At 38.2% G+C, this 22,423-nt stretch overlaps 1 protein-coding gene across 22 annotated transcripts in view, besides 1 other annotated feature; it reads left to right on the top strand.

The window, feature by feature from the left end:
- RGS7 (regulator of G protein signaling 7) overlaps window positions 1-22,423 on the top strand; it is a 582,489-nt gene that overhangs the window by 405,667 nt on the left and 154,399 nt on the right. For 19 of the 22 annotated variants that reach the window (NM_001374806.1, NM_001374813.1, NM_001374812.1 and 16 more), the window contains 2 exons: window positions 14,858-14,964; window positions 20,796-20,847. The exons of the other annotated variants lie outside the window; for them this stretch is intronic. In NM_001374806.1, coding sequence (NP_001361735.1) covers window positions 14,858-14,964; window positions 20,796-20,847 — 159 coding nt within the window. The remainder of the gene's footprint in view (window positions 1-14,857; window positions 14,965-20,795; window positions 20,848-22,423) is intronic. 22 annotated transcript variants of the gene reach the window in all.
- Window positions 14,025-15,224: an enhancer, noted in NCBI's record as "MED14-independent group 3 enhancer chr1:241099640-241100839 (GRCh37/hg19 assembly coordinates)". NCBI's record gives its function as "activates an origin of replication core promoter dependent on BRD2, BRD4, P300/CBP and CDK7 cofactors, and independent of MED14, by STARR-seq in HCT116 cells {active_cell/tissue: HCT116}" and the evidence as "EXISTENCE:reporter gene assay evidence [ECO:0000049][PMID:35650434]".

Here is a 22,423-nt window from a genome sequence, read left to right as displayed (position 1 = left end):
CTTCAAGCTCACTGATTCTTTCCTTAGAGTTGTGTAGCCTGCTAATGAGCCCAGCAAGATATTCTTTATTTCTTTTTTAGTATTATTTCTAACATTTCATTTTGATTCTTTCTTCGAATATCTTTCTTAGAATCTTTCTGCTTACATTATTCATCTACTCTTCCATGTTTTGCACTTTTTCTATTAGAGTCCCTAACATATTAATTACAATTTAAACTTCCTGTCTGATAATTCCAATTTCTGTGTCATATTCGAATTTGGTTCTCATTGTTGTTTTGCCTCTTCACACTGTGTTTTTCTTACTTTTTTGCCTGCCTTGTAATTTTACATTCAAAGCTGAACATGGCTGGGTAGGGTGGCTCATGCCTATAATCCCAGCACTTTGGTAGGCCAAGGCAGGCAGATAGCTTAAGCCCAGGAGTTCAAGACCAGACTGGGCAATGTGGTGAGACCCCATCTCCGCAAATAAAAAAAATTAGCCCGGTGTGGTTGCACGTGCCTGTGGTCTCAGCTACTTGGAAGGCTGAGTTGGGAGGATTGCTTGAGCCTGGGAGGTCGAGGCTGCAATGAGCCATGATCACACTACTACACTCCAGCTGGACAACAAAGTGAAACTCCCATCTCAAAAAAAAAAAAGAGAGAGAGAAAGGAAAGAAAGCTGCACATCTTGTATTAGGTAATGGGAACTCAGGCCTTTAGTGTGCTAATTTATGGTTTAGTACTTGGACCGTGCTTAATGTTTGCTGTGGTTATAAATGACAGAAGCTTCAAATTCCTCTAGTGCTTTTATTTTTATTCTTCTGTGACTTTGAGCTCCTCTAAGTATTTCACCTCAGAGAATGTTTGTGTCTTAACAGCTCTTTCAGCTGTAATCTGATATTATACCATAGCCTATAGGTATGGTGGATAGTTGTTAGGGAATGAGAGAATTATATAATATTTCAATGAAATCTCAGCATTTCAGAGTCTGTCCCTTGGAGCTGTGACCTTTGCAAGTGTTCTCCAGAAGTATAGATCCCCTGTCTCCCACCACTATCTTCCTTTCCCAGCTGTAGCTTTCCCAAACTATTTTGTAGAAGCTCTGCCCCTGTTAATGTTGTTTGCTTTTATTCCTCCCTTCGGTGAGAGACAAAGTCTAGAGGGGACTGTAGTTGGAGAAATGCCCTTTCCCTGGTGAGAATAATGTCTGACAATGTCTTTCCTTTGGGGTAGAGGCCTTTGTTATAGAGAGGGCTCTGGGCATTTTTCGCAATGATTACTTTTCCCTCTTCTGCCAGAGCCATGAGGGATCTTTCTTGGATCTTCACCATGAGAATCTGGTGGGATTTCTGGAAGTGTAGCTCATGAAGGCATGTGCTCCATTCCCCACCAACACTATGAGCCCCTCGAGTTCCTTATTGTCAAGCTAGTTCACACTGAGTCTCAAGTTCTTTGTCAGAAGAGCTATTTTCATGTTTCTGTCAGTTTATGGATCCAAAAGCTTCTGCTCCAAGTAAGTAGATCTTGGTCATGTCTCTGGATGAGCCTGTCTATGCAGATTTTGGAATGGAGGTTTGTCCTACAACTTTACTTCTCTGAATGGTCCAGGAAAAATAGTTGATTTTCAGCTTGTTTGGTTTTCTTTTGTCGAAAGGATGAGAGTGACAGCTTCTAAGCTCTTTAAATGTCTCAGTTAAAACCAGAAGTCATCGTTGGCTTTTTTTTTTTTTTTTTTTTGAGTCAGAGTCTTGTTCTGTCACCCAGTCTGGAGTGCAGTGGCCCTATCTTGGCTCACTGCAACCTCCGTCTCCTGGGTTCAAGCCATTCTCCTGCCCCAGCCTCCCGAGCAGCTGGTACTACAGGCATGCACCACCACGCCCTGCTAATTTTTGTATTTTTAGTACAGATGGGGTTTCACCATGTTGGCCAGGCTCATCTCAAACTCCTGACCTCGGGTGATCTGCCCACCTTGGCCTCCCAAAATGCTGGGATTACAGGCGTGAGCCACCACACCCGGCCCATCCTTGGCTTTTTAAAGCACAGGATACTCCATGTCACTGTGAGTCTCTTGAGGGTAGAGAGAGGGAGAGTGTCACCTTCACTTTTATATCTGTGGCTTGTAGTTAAGCACCTAAAACCAAGCAGACAGTGAATAATTATCTGTTAGATGGACAGCAGATGGGTGAATGGATGGTGGATGAGTGGATAGCAGATGGGTGGATGGATGACAGGTGAATGGCTGAAGAAATGAAGTCTAATAGGGTAAATTAATAAAACCTGGTATGAGTAAATAATGGAGCAAAGAATTTGAAAAATAAAAAGGGAATGCATTTTTATTAATTAATTACATAAGATAAGCCTAGGAAACAAATCAAAATTGAAAGGTGAGAAAATAAGAAAAGAGAGCATTTTTAGGAGAACTGGGGAGAAATTGAAGGACCTCCCTCTTGACCAACAGTCTAAAATCCTTCCATTCCTAGTCTAACCTACCCTTTTGTGAAACCTTCCCTGTCAACTTGAAATGTCTTTTCTTTCACTCATACTGTGTATTAAAAGACTGTGCATTTTAGCTAAAATTCAATATAACTCCAGTTAAGTCAAATTAAAGCAAAATGCCATTTCTTCCCAGCAAATGAAGAACGAGAAAATAAATAATAATTCCAAGTGGTTAACTACTTTACAGGGATACCAACACATTTATACCCTTTTGGTGAGAATTTAAATTATATATATATAATATATATGTATGTTATACTATATATGTATTATTGCTAATAATGCCATCTCCAGATGCCATCTGGAGATGGAACAATATTACGTTTAAAAAACATAGACATACATAGCCTGGGCATGGTGGCTAATGCCTGTAATCCCAGCACTTTGGGAGACTGAGGCAGGCGGATCACCTGAGGTCAGGAGTTTGAGACCAGCCTGGCCAACATGGTGAAACCCAGTCTCTACTAAAATTATAAAAATTAGCCAGGCTTGGTGGCACGTGCCTGTAATCCTAGCTACTCAGGAGGCTGAGGCCAGAGAATCACTTGAACCAGGGAGGGGTGGTTGCAATGAGCCCAGATCACGCCAATGCACTCCAGCCTGGGCAACACAGACTCCGTCTCAAAAAAATAAATAAATAAATAAAATAGCAACACTTAAAAAATATGTGCGTCTTTTGGCTCCCCTATTTTATTTCTAAGAATTTGTGCTATGAACTAATGTAAGATCCTTTTATCCATTTCCGCTCTCATATTTTTTAGTTGGTTGCAATATCTCAGAAATTAAGTCACTGTCAGAGAGTAGATCAAGCAAACAAACCACTAAAACCAACCAAGCAAACAGACAAAAATGTCCATACTTACCTAGAGCTTAAAATATTCACTAGACAAGATAATAATCAATAAAAAAATAGGTAAATATGTTATATGGTAAGTGGTGATGAGTACTAAATAAAAATGGTTTTTATGAAAGCCAACTAAAAGATACGCGGTCTTCTACACCAGTGTAGTCAGGGCTGGTGTCTCTGATGTAGTGGCTTTGGCTAGAATCCAACTGAAGGAAGGAAGTGGGGTGTTCTGCTCTCTGGAGGAAGGGTTCTGAGCATTCCAGGCAGAGAGCCTAGCAAAGCCTAAGGCCTGCGCATGCTTGGTATGTTTGAGGAGCAACAAGGAGGTCTGTGAACTAGAGGAGGATATGTAAAGATGGGCAAGGAAATAGGAAAGGAAGACAGAGAAGTAACTGGGGTGGCCAGATCATATAAGATCTTGTAAAGCCTATGACAAGGAATTTTATTTCGATCCTGAGAAATAGGGGAAATTGTTGAGGGCTTGCACAGGAGCGACTTGATCTAATATATGTTTTAAGATAATCATCATAGCAAAGGGCAAAGTGTGAATGAAATTAGTTTGAATGTTGTTGCAGTGACTCAGCCACAGGATGATATGAGGTTGGACTGGGGTGGTGGAGGTGGTGGATGTGGGTGGCTGATAAGAGGGCAGATTCTAAGAACATACAGCAAAACAGGATCATCAGAAGGTGCTTCTGGACTGGAGTCGGTGAATGGGAGAAAGACATCAGACGATCCAAGCTTTTTGGTCCGAGCAGTGGAATGAAAGTCACTGATATTAACTCAGGTGAGAAGAACTGCGAGAAGAGTGGGTTTCAGATGAAAGCCAACAATTCAATTTTGACATGATGAATTTGAGATGTTTATTCAATATTCACGTGGAGATGTCACAAAGGCTGTTCAGAATACCATACAGGAATTTAGGAGAGAAGCCAGTCTGAAGATACGTGTTCTAAGAATGATGATCACATTTATAGGAAAGCTTATTACATAATGAAAATGGTAAAAATTTGAATTTTGAAGACTAAAGAACTGCTAAGATGCAACGGGGCCAGGGCAGTCTGGCTCAAAGGCCAGCCTCATAACCATTGCCCCATATAATGCAGTACTCTTCCCACCAGGGGGCATGTGTGTGTTGTCCACCAAGATTACTGATCCACTGAGGCTCCAGACATTTCTTCTTGTTAATATCACCTACAGCATCTAGAATTTATTTTCCTATTTATAATTGGCACCTTATAGTTGTATATATTTATAAGGTATGATGTGATGTTTCAATGCATGTATATATAATATAATGAACAAATCAGGGCAATTACCGTATCCATCACTTTAAACATTTATCATGTCTTTGCGGTAACGGCATTCAAAATCTCCTCTTCTAGCTATCCTGAAATATACACTACATTGTTATTTGCTATAGTCACCCTACTGTGTAATAGAGCACCAAAACTTATTCTTCCTGCCTAAGTGTAATTTTGTACCCATTGACCAGCCTGTCCCAGTCCCCCACCTCCCCTAGAATTTATTTGAATTCTGGAAATAAAGCTGTCTCACTATGTACTTTATTAAAAGAACCTTATGAAACCATATTTTCTTGGAGGCTAATTGATTTTAATTCTTTTTTAATTTTTGTTTTTTAAAGAGGGGGTCTTACTCTGTCACCCAGTGCAGTGGCATGATCATGGCTAATGGCAACCTCAAATTCCTGGGCTCAAGCAATTCTCCCACCTCAGCCTCCCAAGTACCTGGGACCACAGGTGTGCACCACCATGCCCTGCTAATTTTTTAAGAAACTTTTTGTAGAGATGGAGTCTCACTATGATGTCCAGGCTGGTCTCGAACTCCTAGTCTCAAGCAATCCTCTCAGTTTGGCCTCCCAAAATGCTGGGATTACAGGTGTGAGCCACCATGCCCAGCCTGATTTTAATTCTTTAAAAACATCTGATGTTTAAATTCTGGCTAATTACAAAAAATAGTGAAATTAGCAAGCAGAATGGTGAAGAAAAGAGGGGGGGATTTTTGAGGGGAGTTGTTAATACTTTAAATAACTCATCTGAATTTACTCATTATGGATTCTGAACCTGCCTCATTGTTATTGTTAGGCAGTAGTTATAATTTTAATTGTGGTATTTAAAATTACAATCAAATTGTTTATGAAAGACTGTGCTGGTTTTAAAACAGCAAACAGAAAAAATGTTTTAATACATCTTATTTAACAAATTTACCCATATCTAGTTTCCAAACTAATTTTGAGAAAGATGATCTCTATCCAGTAGGTTCATGGAAAGCTTGTGTATTAGATTTTAGGTATTCTAAAATCTAAAATTCTTATTTTCAGATTATTTTAGTTACTAAAACTCATACACCAACATATACACACAGAGATTTTAAAAATAAAAATTGATAAATACATGTGCTTTTATAAACTAGGATTTTTAAAATGATACTTTGCTGTAAAGATTATTCAAAAGTTGCAAACATCAGTCCTGACGTCCTACACACTTTTCTCAATTCAAGCATTTGTTTCTGCAAAATACAGATAAAAGTGCATTCCACTGATTTTGTTTTGAAATTTCATAAAAACTGTGACTGTTTCAGTGACCAAGCCTGTGGCTTTGAAATTAGACTTATCATTCATTATGGTTCAAATATTAAGGAATAGTGATTTTTAAAAGAGATACCATTAACAGGTATTATGAGAAGACTATATTGCTTATTCCTTAGGAGTGATATTTGATTTTCAAACAAAATGCATTCAGGATATTTTGGCACATGGGATGTGTTATTGGCTAATCCCAAGACATGTGTGCGTTTTTACAACTAGTTTTTGAAAATGTGTAAATAGAACACACTCATAAAACCAGTTCCTATTTGGAATAAGCATTCATTTGCTCTGTGTACAAAAACTCTATACTATAGCAGCCCTTGAGAATCATCAGGATTGAGTTATAAGCAACTGAAATTAAAATCAGCTTTTATATTTCGTATTGGGCTATTTTTCTCTTTCGTGTTAGAGTATTGGGACATGGGCAATGGCAAGAATGTCTGAGAAATAAAGAAAAATCCATTTCCCTTTGACACAAGGAGGCAAAAATAAGGATGGCGGCTGCTCTGCCACAACTTCTAGCTAGTGTTTTGACTGCACATCTTGTCATGGACTCAGAACTAAAAAGTCTTTAGTGATCCCCGCTGCATTTACAGATGCCAGCTCTAAGAAAGGAAGTGACTTGGCTGGATGCGTGGCACACGCCTGTAATCCCAATGCTTGGGAAGGCCGAGGCAGGCAGATCACGAGGTCAAGAGATAGAGACCATCCTGCCCAACATGGTGAAACCCTGTCTCTACTAAAATACAAAAATTAGCCGGGCGTGGTGGCGCATGCCTGTAGTCCCAGCTACTTGAGAGGCGGAGGCAGGAGAATCGCTTGAACCTGGAAGGCGGAGGTTGCAGTGAGCGAAGATCGCGCCACTGCACTCCAGACTGGTGACAAAGTGAGACTCCATCTCAAAACAAAAGAAAGGAAGTGACTTACTCCTGACATGCAGTTACAGGCACTAGGATTAGAATTTAAGCCCCATGACTTGCAGTTGAGCCTTTTTTTCCCATGATTTCCACATGTGCTTGTTTGGCAGTGTGTGCTCTCTCTGATTTGAAGAAATACATGCTGTAGAAACTCCTCTGCCTACTAAAAAGTTAATTCAGTGCCCTACTTTCTTCCAGCTCATTCAGCCAGATTAACTAATGGAAATTTTGCAGAATGTATACTGAATTTTAGATGGAATGTTGTTTTCCACTGTAATTTATTACTGCCCTGGCCCTTGCCATTGTGATGGTTTCCTCACACTGTACTTAGATGAAGTAAGCATGATTTTTATCTCATCTGAATACTATTCTATGCACCTAACATATATATATATATATATATATATATATATATATATATATATATATATATACACACACACACACACACACACATATAATATAACAGAATCTTGTTAAAGGATTGGCTGATGGAACTACCTATCTAAATCTGGGGAATGAACATGCTAATATCATATAGGCTGTATAATGTAGATCTGAAACCAGTTATTCACACCAGTATTACATGGATCATTTTTTCAAATTTCAGCATGATTTTTCATCTATGCAGAATGCCTAAGATGTCATAACTGCCATTAGACATCTAGACTGGTCTACTCTGTGTGTGTAAAAAAGATCGTTGACTTATGATTATCTGTTGCTCTCACTGCCAATTGCTTTATTATTTTAATGTCGATTTTCTTTTTTTAGTCCTAGGCAAATATTATGCTTCCCTAAGAATTCATCTCCCATTCTGATTGCTGTCCCCGTGCTCTCTCTGTCCCTGTTATTCTTCTACTGTCAGGTTCAGGGTGTCCTCACATCAGTCCTCCTCTAAAGCAGGCAGGTCTCTCATTGGCATCTGGTATTCACAGTATGGTTTTGTAAACCTAGCGTGTGGAGCATGCCGCCTTTGGAAATCTGTGGCTATCCCTGTGATATATAATAAGTTTGTCCCTAATTTCTTTTTGGGATTTTGTTAGTGTTCTTTGCTGTAGGGAAAAACATAGGCATATTTCAGCCCACAAAACACTCTGGTTTGATCACCTGGGGCGTTTAAAATAGAGTTGAATTGGAAGTGTTTAACATGACTGGGAAACCCAGAGCAACACTAGCTACTAATGTTTCCCATCGCCCCTTAAACTAGATTAAGTGCTCCTGAATGTGACACTTCATAAGTATCAACTGATAATAACTCTCATCTCAGGAGCATGTCTGTGTGGTAGACTGTGTTTTAAGTGCATTGTGCATATTATCTCAATGGATCCTTACTGCTAATCTTTGGCATTATTATTTTGTCAACTTCTTACAGATGATTACAGATGAGGGCACCAAGGCCCAGAGAATCCAAGTCTCTTGCTCAGGTCACACAGCCAGCAAATGAGGGACCCGGGATGTGAACCTAGGCAGGGGACTGGCATAGCCTTTGTACTCTGCTCCTTTTTTGGAAATAGCGTTTACTTATATTAATTTCTTATTGCATTCCTCAATGTTGATATAAATTATGATTCTGTTTTTATTTCTCCCAAATAGAATCTCTTTTAGCTTATCTATTCTATGTCACCTTATTATTCACTTCTCTATCCCGAATTATGATTGCTGTTGAGAAAGCGGCACTTGATTTTTCTTACATGCAAATGATGTTTTTTTTAAAAAGATGAAAGCTGAGGTACTTCTTTTACTAACTCCTACTGTTGAGAAAATAAACTTACTTCAGAAATTTCTAAATATGGTAATAGTCCATTTTTACTTGGTTTTGTTGGAGAATAAAATGTTCCGCATATGAGATTTTTCTACATGAATAATCTTACCTTTCCAAATGCCAGTTCTAAAAAATAAAGCATAATATTTTGAAGGATTTCTAAAATGACCACTTCCATGTCTTCTTAAACAGAAAGTAACAAGTCTAACATATCTTCTTTTTATGGCTCAGAATTGTCCTGATGAATACCTGTTATTTTATCATTAAGTAACTTACCTTTGTCTTCATTTTAGCATCTCTGTTTCCTTAATATAATCAGCTGCCATCTTTTTTCTTTTTAGATTTTCTTTTAAAATATTTCTCCCCACACACTACTGATACTTATACTGTGTTGGAAATGAAAAAAATGTTAATACATGCACATAAATAAGAGTAAATAACATGATAGTGATAAAAATACAGGATTCAGTGAAGTTTTTAAATTACTTTCTTGACTCAGAGGCATTTTATTAATCGTTGCAAAATTATGAGCTGTATTTAAAAGAAGAGGAGGCTGCAAGAAGTTGAGCCTCTGGGTAAGAAAAATATTACTGAGTTTTAAAATTACATTGTAAATATAGAGTACTTTACACTCAAGTACTCAAGCCTCTTTTATAAGCACCGTGAGCTAACCGATTGCACCCCTGGAGTTCCACAAGCCTCTTTTATACTGTGGTTTTCATCCTGTTAACTTTTTGAAATCGTTGTGGTCAAAAGCAAATTATGCTGTGGAGAATTCTCTTCGCTATCCGAGGATGTTGATAATACCATTCCTTTAGAGTTTGGGGTGAAATCATCCTATGTTGGTATCAGGCTTAACAAAGCTGTTCTAGGCTGTTCACTTAATCAGAGGTGTTTGGAGATTGATTTTTGTTTCTCAGCTTGCTCATGGCTTGAATATCCAAACAAAAAAATAAGCTGGAATTTTTTAGTAGGTTTATTGTTGAACTTTAGCTGTGTGGGTGAAGAGAATAACACATGTACGAGAAGATTAATTAGCGATTATTTTGCCGTGAAGCGTGATGCTGCTGGGCCATCTGGTGTGCCGTTATTGGGAGAGTGATCTTGACAGATTACTCAGTAAACTCTTTCAACACTTTGTTCCAAGATTGTCAGCGGTCTTATGGATTCTTATTAGATTAAGATGGTGCTAAGATTTCGGAGCAGTGGGACCACAGGGAACTGTGGCACCATGTTTGTCCCTAACAATAAACAAGTCTGTCTTGAGAATACTGCCCCAAGTCCATTCTTACTGGCATTTATCTTGTTAATATCACTATTATATTTTCTCACAACAAAATAGCTACAATAGCCCCACCTCAACAGCTTATAACACACAATAATTAGCCTGGTGTTTTTCTATGCAGTGTTAGGTTTTTAATATTCTTGGTGTGTCATTTACTCATAAATGTCCTTGTTCATTGATTTAGCAAATATTGATTCACTTGCTACTTTTGCCATGGATATGCTGAGTGCTAAACTTGTCATCCTAAATGAAGCAAAAAATTCACCCCAACTTTCTGATTTTTCATCTAGGCATTTATCCTGCTCTGGAGCTATATTTTCTGGAGATCCTGTAATGAACACAAAATATCTATTATTATTTCAGTACCTCTAGATTACTATTTGACCAAAAATCTTAAAACCATTTGTAAGCATTGTGAGAAGATCAGTCCTCTTAACTATTAAGTCAAAAGGTTTGATTTCACCTTGACATATGAAATGTGTGTGACTCACATAGAAATTAAATCTAGGTCTTACCTGTATCACCACCAGTATATTTCTACTAAATTCATGACATGATGCAAAAGTATCAAAACAAATTTTCCTTAATTGTAAAATTATGGAACATAAGTATCACTCAGAAGAGAAGTAAAATGAGAATGCATATCATCAAATCAAATGAAAATATTGTACCTCAAAAAAGGAAGGAGAATTTTACTAATTCACTCATACTCATTTGCAAGCATTTATTAATGACTAATTATGGTAGTATTACATGAAGAAGAACCTGCCAACATACACTTTGCACTCTATAAGTATATAACTTGTAAATTAGTAGTTAATGAGATGCAGGAGTCAAGAATAGTCTTATGATCACTCACTTCTGTTTTTCTTTTTTGTAGCATCTCTATATTTACTTTCACTCTATTTTTCTAATCCTCATCAACACTTTAACACCCAATTGCTTTTTGTTGTTCCTTGGCTTGGTTTTAGTCACACTCTTTCCTATGCTTAGAACTCAGAAGCTCCTCTTACTGTCTATCTTCCTGGGCATCTCAGTTTTCCCTTCTTGTATCTATACTCCGCAGATTTCCTTATGTGCCGTAACTTAATTTTTCTTCCGGGAAAGTGTGCTAACACTATCTTCCCAGGCCACAGACTGCTGGGACTAAAATAATAAAGATGGCTATACGAAGACAGATGGGCCACCTACAAAGGATGTTACATGTTGCCCCACCCTATATTCCCTAACAGGTGTAAGGAAGTCAGAGATCATCTGCAACCCCCCTAAGCTCTTCTGTGGATCTGGAGACCAGGTGGATACCAGGCAGATTAATAGAGAAAATCATACACATTTTATTAGTTTTACATGTACATGGGGATCTTCACAAGAGTGTGAAGTCTGAAGAAATGGCCAAAGCAAGACACTTCTATACTTTTTAGACAAACAATAATAAATTTAAGAAAAAAATGACAGAACAAAGAAAATCTGGCTGAAGGCAGTAAATTTTCTAGCAGAATCACTAGGGAATATATTGGGGGCATAAAACTAGTGGAAAGTAGGGGTTACTTGATTAAGTTTATTTCTTAATTTAATTTAATTTAATTTTTTGAGATAGAGTGTTGTTCTGTCGCCCAGGCTGGAGTGCAGTGGCGTGATCTCTGCTAACTACAACCTCCACCTCCCGAATTCAGGTGGTTCTCATGCCTCAGCCTCCCAAGTAGCTGGGATTACAGATGCCTGCCACCATGCCCAGCTAAGTTTTTTATTTTTTATTTTTTTTAGTAGAGACGGGGTTCACCAGGTTGGCCATGGTGGTCTTGAACTCCTGGCCTCAATTGATCCATCCGTCTTGGCCTCCCGAAGTGCTGGGATTACAGGCATGAGCCACCGCATCCAGCCCTTTATTCAGGTTCATTGCAGCCCCCAACTCCCAGTCTCTGGTGATAAGAGCTATTTTCTTGCCCTGGCAAAAGCAAGATACCCCTCCCAGAGGAATCTTTATGGCTTGCTGCATATAGGAAGAGATAGGCCAGCTAGCCCTTTCTGAAACTACAATTCATCCAGTGTTTTCAACTTGAAACAATCTGGGGTATTTTGGGATGGCATATTCTTCACTCGTCCACAGGGGTACTTAGGGATTCAGAATTTAACCAGGACTATAACCACCTGCTCATTTGTTATGGGCCAACTATCTTTCTAGATCCTCTTACCATTTTAATTTTACAGACAGTCAAAAAAAAAGAGAATAAGATGATGTTGATGAACGTGGCTGCTTAGGACTGTCAGGATTCCTCACTCAGCCTAGCTTTTTAAAACTTTTGTTAGATATTTATAGGGTACAGAGTAATATTTCAATACATGAAATGTGCAATGATCAAATCAGAATAATTAACATATCTATCACTTCAAAGTTTTATGTTTTTTTTGTGTTGGAAATATTCACTCAACCTAGCAGAAGGCAAATGTATGGAAGTAGATTCTCTGAAAGTGGTTTGTAGAAAAGTAAAAATTATTTTGTGTGTAAATAATGAAGCACAGTAGCTACCATATACATAGTACCTACTAGGCTGGAAGCATGATTCCAATTTCATTACAAGTGTGCTTATGTCATTCTCACGTCAATCCTGCCAGGTAGGTTTATGACCTTTATTAATAGATGGGGGAGGCACAGAGAATGAAAGTAACAGAAGACAGTGGGTGTCTCCAAAGTTCTTGTTCTTTCCACAATGACACCCTGGCACTAAAGTTTTAACAAGGATAGGTAGGCATGTTGCTATGAGCAATGCATGCTTTGAGAAGGCCTTGACTTTGAACTGAAAGGATGTTGAAATGATGGAAATACACACACACACACACACACACACACGCACAAAATTGATGAAAAAAAAATGCTCCTCTGTACAAAAAACAACATTCTATACAGAGAGACTTGACTGCGAGTTTGGAGATGATGGCTGGAGCAGTTAGTAACAGTCTTCCAAAGCCAGGGCAAAGAATGAAGAATAATTGGCAGTTGTTCTTTATTATCGGCAAGAACAATGCAGGGAGAGATCAGAGGTAGAAGTTATCAATTGAAATGTTTGCAAAATGCTAGATAACAATTTCAAGGGGCATCATAGTACCCCAAAACAGATAAAAATTTAACAACAAATTGTTTATTTATGTAGGTGTAAGGGGTAAAAGGATGGGATTCTTATGCTTTGCTGTACCATAGCTAGCTACTTAGTTACTCAGTTCTTAACTGAGGTGTAAAAGCTCCCCATGGTTGATGGCTGGAGATATAGATAGATCCATGTTGTCCTAGAACTGCTGTAAGAATCCTAGCTTCTTGACTAAGAAACAGAAATAAATTTATAAATGAATTATACATAAAGATACATAAACAGATAAATAAATCTAACTTTTCTGGTATTTTCTACATACAGTAGGCCCTCTCTATTTATGACTTCCACATCTGTGGATTCAACCACCCATGATCAAAAATCCACAGATGTGGGAGGGCAAAGTGGGGAACTTGAGCATCCTTGATGTTTGGTATCTGTGCAGGTCCTCAAACCAATCCCCTGAGGATACCAAGGGACAACTGTACATATATTTTTTTTGTTGGGGTAGAAAACTATTTTGCATAATTTCATATTTTCTAGCCTTTAAGTTAGAAAACTTTATGTCATCTCTGCACAAACGCAGTAATAACTATTGACCAAATTTTACTAACCCTTTTGTTGGAAGAAATTGTTGGCAGCTATAAACAGTATGAGTATTACAGCCTTAGTTTCAGACTATATGTTTACATTGTCCAATAAATCTCTTCCTACTCCATATTTAGAACACTGTATAGAATAGTAAAAGCTAGAACAATCTTTACAATCACCAGTCTGTAGATTCAATAGTGCAGCATACATGGTCCTTGATGCCTTAACATTCCCTCATAGCATCACAAAATAATGGTCCATATCATTAGAAACATTACTGATGGTACTAGATTGCTATGATATTGAGAATGAGGTGATGCAAGTGAAAACTTTTAAAAGTTTAAAGTGCTATAAATGCCAAATGCAACTGCCTGTGAGAGAACATTATCACATGGGCCAACACACATCTATAAAATGAGGGAGACATACTCTACAGATTGAGAAGAGCCTTCCCATTTTAATGTTTCTTAACTTTATCTTCTCATGGACTTGTTGTCATTGGATGAGGTTGGTCATGGCAGTTGCTACCAGGAACTAGAACCATCTTAGTGTCTTGTGAGAAAGAGCTGAAAAAAGAAGAAAAAGCACAAAGCCAGGTTTTCAGAATGCCAAGAATGTACTCTAAAGTGTTAGAAACAAGAGCTGGGAGTCGCAAGGAAAACGAGCACTCAAACAAAGGATTTCTCAGCAAGGCAAATTTACTTCTGCAGAAGGGTGCCACTCGCACTTCTGGCCACTGCGAGAGCACACCGAACAAAGGAGGGAAGGGGTTTTTATCCCTAACGCTATTAGTCCCTGCTTCTGTGTCCTGTCCCCATTGGCTGGAGTCGTACCACACAATCTAAACTGACCCGATTGGCTACTGTTTAAAATTGAATATGGCTAATTAGGTGGGAAGGGAGAGGCTGTCCGTTTCGGTACAAGGCATGTTTGGGCATGTCAGGGCACGGCAAAGGCAGGAAGTGTAGTTTTGGCTGGAAGACCTGTTTCAGTGGGAGGGGCAGTTTACAGAATGGGTAGCCAGGAGTAAAGGAGGACTGTTTCCAAATAAGGAAGAGATGTGAGTTACAGACTGGGACTGGTAGGAGAAGTTGTTTACAGAGCAGGTAGCTTAGGAGAAGGGACAAGGAAGTTTATCTCGAGAGCAAAGAACAAGGAAGTCAGAAATTAAATCTTTCAAGAGGAACTTACTGTATCTGACAAAAGGAACCACACAAAAACGTTACATTCCTATAAAAGAATACATTTAAAAGGCTTTTTTATGTTCTTTGTTTGTTTTCATAAAACAGTGGAGGCGCTCCATTTGGGAACATTAATGGCTGCCCACGGCTACTTCTTTCCAATCTCAGATCATGTCCTCACACTCAAGGATGATGGCACCTTTTACCGGTTTCAAGTAAGTTTATTAGAAATGTTCTTTAACAGTAAACTAGAAGCCCGCATTTCGTTTGTTAGTTAGGTTTCTTTTGAACAGAACTTTTAAAAACTATGACTTATTTTACTTTGACTTAGGCTAGTTAGAAACTGATTAACATTAAACTAAAGACATAAAAAGCAATAAACACAGAGAAAGATAAAGTATGCTTAGTCAAGATGATGTGTGAAAGCTAAATTGTGTGATGATTGAATTTCTATTTTATATGAAAAGCTTAAGGGAAATTCATAAAGTGACTTAATGGCATTCGGAAGGACCGGAGAGTCTTCCTCTGTCTGACCCTTGCCTGTGATCCAGACCATCTTCAGCCCAAGTAAATTTTAACAGGAATGCTTGAAACTCCAGATAGGATTCAGCTAATTAATAAACTCTCAGCATCCTAGGCTCTTCTACAAATCTGTAAAGACTGACATGATGATATATTGTGTGTGTGCACTCAACTGCAACAGGACACCTCAGATAACTTGCAAACTGATAAGAGTCATTCTAGGTCATTTGCAAATGACACAGATGCTATTATTCTTTCTGGCAATGATTGTGGACTCTGATTTCAGTCATTGTAAGTATATTTGACACTTGAGTTCACATTGATTTACCTAAAGTATATTCTACATTTCAGTAGACATTATGGCTCATTAATAACTGATTAGCAGATTCTAGCCTGTAAAATTAAGGCACATAAAATGCTGGATGTCAAACTCTAATCCATTTCCAAGAGGTATTTGCTGGAGGGTTCTCCCCACAGTCCAACTTTCAGACTTTGGAGCCTTCTTCTCACTTGTTCTAAGTATTATTAAATGCTCTATGTCTACATAAATGACTGAATAGTAATCAGAGTACCTAAAATTTGTTTGGGAAAACTGAGAACAAAGAGGAAATATGCTTTAAAAATCACTTTAATCATTTGCTTTAAAAAATCATTTTAAAGATTATTGTCCTCATAGAACAGTCTCACTGCCCCTTCCTTGGACTCATTTCTTCCAAGGCAAATAATCGTAGGACAGTTTTGGACTTAAGAGCTAGGAGGAAATAAAGCTGTATCCTGAAACTGTGATACTGACCTAAGTATTCAAGCACTTAGTTAAATTACGTAACTTAAAAAAGCTTTACATTAATGGAGCTTTATTCTTTATACAGCAAAACTTACACTAATGGTAGCTTAAAATAGCATATTATTAAAGTAACTTCTGGCCCCAAGATTAAATTTTTAATAACTAGGAATTATTGGTGATCAGCAAATAAATTGTTTTTATGTGACTAATGCTTCCTGATTTTTTTAAAGAAATCTCTATTCCCAGAAAATGTAGTAGACAGACAAGGTTTACATGTCTTAGTCATGCTCATGGGTCTAAAAGGGCACCGAGGCCGGGCACAGTGGCTCATGCCTGTAGTCCCAGCACTTTGGGAGGCCAGGGCGGGCTATCACTTGAGGTTAGGAGTTTGAGACCAGCCTGGCCAACATGGTGAAACCTCATCTCTACTAAAAAAAAAACAAACAAAAAAAATTAGCTGGGTGTTGTGGCATGTGCCTGTAATTCCAGCTACTTGGTAGGCTGAGGCAGGAGAATAGCTTGAACCTGGGAGATGGAGGTTGCAGTGAGCCGAGATTGTGCCACTGCACTCCAGCCTGGGCGACAGAGCGAGACTCAGTCTCAAAAAAAAAAAAAAAAAAAAAAAAAAAAAAGCCATGTGAAGGAAGGGATCACCATACACACAGGAGAAAAGGAGAGAATTTTTAAAAGAGCTTTAGAACAAAGCAAGGGAATGGGTACAAATGACATATGAATTATGTAACTACTAGGGATAGACAGAGAGTTGTCAAGTTCAGTGTGCTGAGATAGATAGGCAGATATAAAATAAACTATCTATACATATACACATTAAAATTACATTAGTGCTAAATAGTAAATGTTACATATTTTAATGATGCATCCATATTTGAAATAGTATCTAAATATAACAAACACATTTGTAAATCTAATAATATTAGAGTTCTGAAACCAAGATTTTAAAAAACACCAGAAAACTCAGAGGTAACTGAATTTCTACTATAATGTCTACCAAGTCATTAACCAGTCCATATTTGAAGAGTTCCAATAATAGAAAACAAATTATTATTCAAGGTCTTCACTTCTGTTTTTACGTTGGTTCCAAGCAGCGAAAGTTCTTTATTACACCGAAGTGAAATTCAACTCCTTGGAAGGATATTTTAAAATCATAAATTAAAGTAGAAAAGTTGGGATGCCGTGTTTACAAATCCTCCAGTGAATGATTGGGAGTCTAACCATCATTAAGAATCTAGGCTGGGCGCAGTGGCTCACGCCTGTGATCCCAGCACTTTGAGAGGCAGAGGTGGGCAGATCATGAGGTCGAGATTGAGACCATCCTGGCCAACATGGTGAAACGTCATCTCTACTAAAAATACAAAAATTAGCTGGATGTGATGGTGCGTGCCTGTAGTCCCAGCTACTTGGGAGGCTGAGGCAGGAGAATTGCTTGAACCCAGGAGGCGAAGGTTGCAGTGAGCCAAGATGGTGCCACTGCACTCCAGCCTGGGTGACAGAGCGAGACTCCATCTCAAAATAATAATAATAAAAAAATCTAAAGAGTCTTCAAAGCATTAATTTGAGATAAACAGAAATCTTTATTTCATTGGCATGACAGTTTATATATTTGTCTCAAATTTGTAGTACATGTCTTAATCATGTGATTTTTTAAATTTACCGTAAAGTCACAATTGTCTAATCATCCTCTCTTAGCTAACTGAAAATGAGATCTGATGTAATTCTTTAGCTCTCTTTCATGACTTTCAATACATTAGTATATGCTCCAACAGTTATTGAACAACAGTTGAACAGTTTTGGATGAGTTTCATCCTAGCTAAGGAAGCCAATATTGAAAAATCAAGAAACTCATGCATTAAAATGTCCTAATGTATGGTAGAACTATGAAAGTATGTATTTAAATTCCAAAAAAAACTGTAAGAGTTTGTTGTTCTCCTATATTATCGTTTACTACAGATCAAAACACTACTTCTTAGAAAAAATCTTCCATATTAGTGAAGAACATTGGTTTAGTGGCATTTCCACATAATATCACAAGAAAAAATTACTTTATGCTTTAATTTTACAGTCATTAAATTCTCACTAAAGTAAATGATGGAGAATGAAGAAAAATATAAGAATGCAGTTGAGAATATTTTTTGTGCTTTTGTGGGAAAAAAGTATATGTCTTGTCTGAGTAGAATAGGTATTTTAAGGTTAGATAAATAGATATGCCTGCACACACACCTATACATACACATATATACTCCCCAAAATATAGAAACTACCCAGAGGGAACAATGCACTCCGTAAGAAGCATCTCAGAAAGTAACACCGGCCGGGCGCGGTGGCTCACACCTGTAATCCCAGCACTTTGTGGGGCCGAGGGGGGCAGATCACGAGGTCAGGAGATGGAGACCATCCTGGCTAACACGGTGAAACCCCGTCTCTACTGAAAATACAAAAAATTAGCCGGGCGTGGTGCGGGCGCCTGTAGTCCCAGCTACTCGGGAGGCTGAGGCAGGAGAATGGCGTGAACCCGGGAGGCGGAGCTTGCAGTGAGCCGAGATCGCGCCACTGCAGTCCAGCCTGGGCGACAGAGCGAGACTCTGTCTCAAAAAAAAAAAAAAAAAAAAAAAAAGAAAGATACCAAAGTAGAAATATATCTCTTATAAAACCTAAGAAATAGCATATCAGAAAATCGTTTTTAGGCCGGGCACAGTGGCTCACACCTGTAATCCCAGCACTTTGGGAGGCCGAGGCAGGCGGATCACGAGGTCAGGAGATCGAGACCATCCTGGCTAACACGGTGAAACCCCGTCTCTACTAAAAATACAAAAACTCAGCTGGGCGTGGTGGCGGGCACCTGTAGTCCCAGCTACTTGGGAGGCTGAGGCAGGAGAATGGCGTGAACCCGGGAGGCGGAGCTTGCAGCGAGCTGAGACCGCACCACTGCACTCCAGCCTGGGCAACAGAGTGAGACCCTGTCTCAAAAAAAAAAAAAGTGACACCCTACATGAAAGCAAAGTTTTAACTACTTTGTCCCCCTAGGGCTATCCTAGAATCCTGATTCAATTTTATTTTTAAGAAATCGAATTCTCAAAGCTTCATCTCCTATGGAGTCAAGTGAGATTGGGGTGATAAGGGTGACCCACATAAAGTCTTACTATCCTCTTTTGTCTAGCAGTTTAGTCTTTTTTTCTTTCTTCAGAATTCCTACGATGATTTTGTTCTCATGTTCACAAAACTACTGTTAGTAGCCTTCTTTATTTTACTACTGTAATTCCCAAGAAAGAACGGAGGGTAAGTTGAAATCCCTGGGTGATGGTAGTCGGGGGGGCCTCTGAGACAGTTTGGAAAGACTTTTCTGTAGAGATTCAAACAGTTCTCCCTATCTACCCATTTTCCCTTCTTTAGAGTCTCTCTTCTAGAGGGGAAAATGATCAGATAATCAGAGATGACTCCAAATATGCTTATTGCACATGGTAGTTAGTGTAATTAGCTAACAGATAGAATTAAGCCCACAGTACTGATATTTGCCATCACTGTTACAGTGAGTCCTGCAGGCCTCATCATTCCAGGGACTAGGGGTTGATAAGGAGACAGGTGATCATCAGGTTTCTTCGTGGTCAGGAGCCAAGCATGTTCAGCTAGCAGGGCTAGGAAAGTCCTTTTAGAAAATATAAATGTTAATGATAATAATAAAGTTTCTCTCGGTCAGACATTTTCTTTGTAGTTTAGTCAGTCAGTTTCTAGATTCTACAGAATCTGGATTCTGCCTATTGCAGATTGTATCACTCAATTAAGACACTATTCCTTTAAAAAAAATCTCTGATTTGTGCAGTTTAAAACTTTAGAGAAACAAGTGTCTTTGTAAGGAAATGTTTCTATTTTTATTTATTTTTTGTAGGTTTTTTTAATTTAAATTTTATAATTTTAATTTTTGTGGGTACATAATAGGTGTTTATACGTATGGAATACATGAGGTGTTTGGATACAAGGATGCAATGTGGAGTCATCACATCATGGAGAATGGGATCTCCATTCCCTCAAGCATTTATTCTTTGTGTTACAAACAATCCAGTTACACTCTTAGTTATTTTTAAATGTATAATTAAGTTACTATTGACTCGAGTCACCCTGTTGCACGACTAAATGGTAGAAATTAGTTACAAGAGGAATTTAGGAAATGTCTTTAAAAGTGAGAGTAAAAAGTTGCTTTAATCTCATTGGACAATGCTGAGAACTGAATTATATGACTAATGGAGCCAGGCAAATCATTGTCAGATCTCAGAGAAAGAGTCTATCGGTTGGTTGAGCTTTTTGGAGCTACCAAAAGCAGTGTTGAAATACATGATTCATAGAAAACAATTTGTTATATTTAAATATATTTCATCCTGAGTCTTGCCGAACATACTCTTTCAGTCCTCTCTGTGGATGAATACTTTTTGCTTGAATATACAATCAGACCTTTTTGCCTTTATGTCAGTTGGTGTAAAATTACAGCAAAGGGATGACATTCTAAATACCTGCTTGCTGGTACTACACATGTTTAGAAGCTGAGCAATTGGTCAGCAAAGTACATGTAGACAAAGAGTTTTCAATGTCTCTCTTGGAACATGTTCTGTATTATAAAACATATAGCAAACTAATATAGAGAATTGTGGAAGATAAATGTAATTCACTGGCCAGAAACTCCACTAATTTTTTATTTGTCTAATCTGGGTTCCACTTCTTTTCATTCCGCAGACCCCCTATTTTTGGCCATCAAATTGTTGGGAGCCGGAAAACACAGATTATGGTCAGTGCCATCTCTCATTATTTTATTATTGACAGCCTGTATGTGTAGATGGATGTGTACTTGCGTTTTATTGCTTTTTTCATTAAGAAAAGGAAACCACAGTTCTCAGGATGGGACCAATATTTTTAACATTGAATTGATAAGCGGCTTTGTTTGGAAAGTCACCAGACCTCGTGACAACTTTCTCTGTGGTATGGTGCCCTCTGCAACTATTAAAGAAAGCCTTCTGATTAGGTTAAAGAGCTGTAAATAAGCTTAAAGGGGTTATTGTTTTGTCATAGCAACCTGGCCTACTAGAAAGAATAAAAAATAGACCCATAGAACCAGAGTTCTAGTTCAACTCTCCCACTTAGCTGTGTGCTTTTTAGTAAGTCCCTTGACGTCCCAAGGGTCCGCTTTTCTCACTGTTCTGTGAAGTATCCTATGATTTTTATAGGTGGAGGGTTGTGTTAAACATGAAGAGGCCAATTACAAGCAAAAAAAAAAAAAAAAAAGCTAAAAAAGAAAATTCAATGCTAATAAATCAAGTTCAGTGAACTTAGAACAAACTTGGTTCAACAGCCATTATTTCACTCAAGCTCTTCAAGGAGAAAAAGAGCCCCTAGTAAGTATTCATCTTCTTAGATCTTCCTGAACAGTACAGTTTTCAAAGACAAGATTGCATGGTTTTTAAATGTCATTTCTGCAAGTGTTTATTGAGTATTTTTCTTCCTATGCCAGTGCAGTAGAAGATGCTAGGTTCGCAAAGGGGACTGAGTTCATTGACACCATTGGGTAGCTCACAGGCTAGATGGGAAAATAGGATTATACAGAAGGAGTTACTGTAGAGTGTCAAGTGAATAGGAGAGTGATATATGCAAAATTATGTGAATGTTTAAAAGAATGAGAAATTGACTTTCCCTGGGGTCTTCCAGAATGATTTTGCGAGAGAACTGGTACCATTTGAGCTGGATCTTAAGAGGAAAGATTTTTCAGATGAGAAGGCAGGGCAAGCGTTTGAGGTAGAGGAGCTGGCATAATATACAAAGGCAGTGAGAAGCTTTGCAGCAGCTTGGCTTTCTTTGGTGTTGCTCCTGGAGAGACATTTTTATAAGAAGAAAAAATAAGAAAATTCATAGAAAATCAATAAAGCTATCTCTCATGTGTGTCATTTCAGAAACTTGAATTTAGTCGATCATCCAAGAATGGTCAGGCTCTAGTCAAAAGAGTCGAAACTAACATAACTCATGAAAAAAAAATCTAAAAACCAGAATACCGAAAAATTAATACGGAGACAAAATTATTTCTTTCCAGTAGTGAGAATGCCAGTTTCTTCATCCAGGGCACACATTCCTCAAAACTGAGGTCCTTGGAGAAAGAAGTTATTTTACAAAACGACTACTGATTTGTAGATTTGAGTTGGAGAACTTTCTGGAGCATTTTATTCAAGCTAGGATAATGCCTGGAGATTGTCTCACTAAAGAATATGAAATTCTAGTGGAGGAACACTGGAACAGCTAAGAGGGAGCTCATAGAGAAAAACCCAGGCATTGGAGGCAGACAGACCTGAACATAAATACTGTCATAACCACATACC

Source organism: Homo sapiens, chromosome 1 (assembly GCF_000001405.40).
Source record: "Homo sapiens chromosome 1, GRCh38.p14 Primary Assembly".
Taxonomy (NCBI): domain Eukaryota; kingdom Metazoa; phylum Chordata; class Mammalia; order Primates; family Hominidae; genus Homo; species Homo sapiens.
This window is presented reverse-complemented; position numbering and strand designations above follow the sequence as displayed.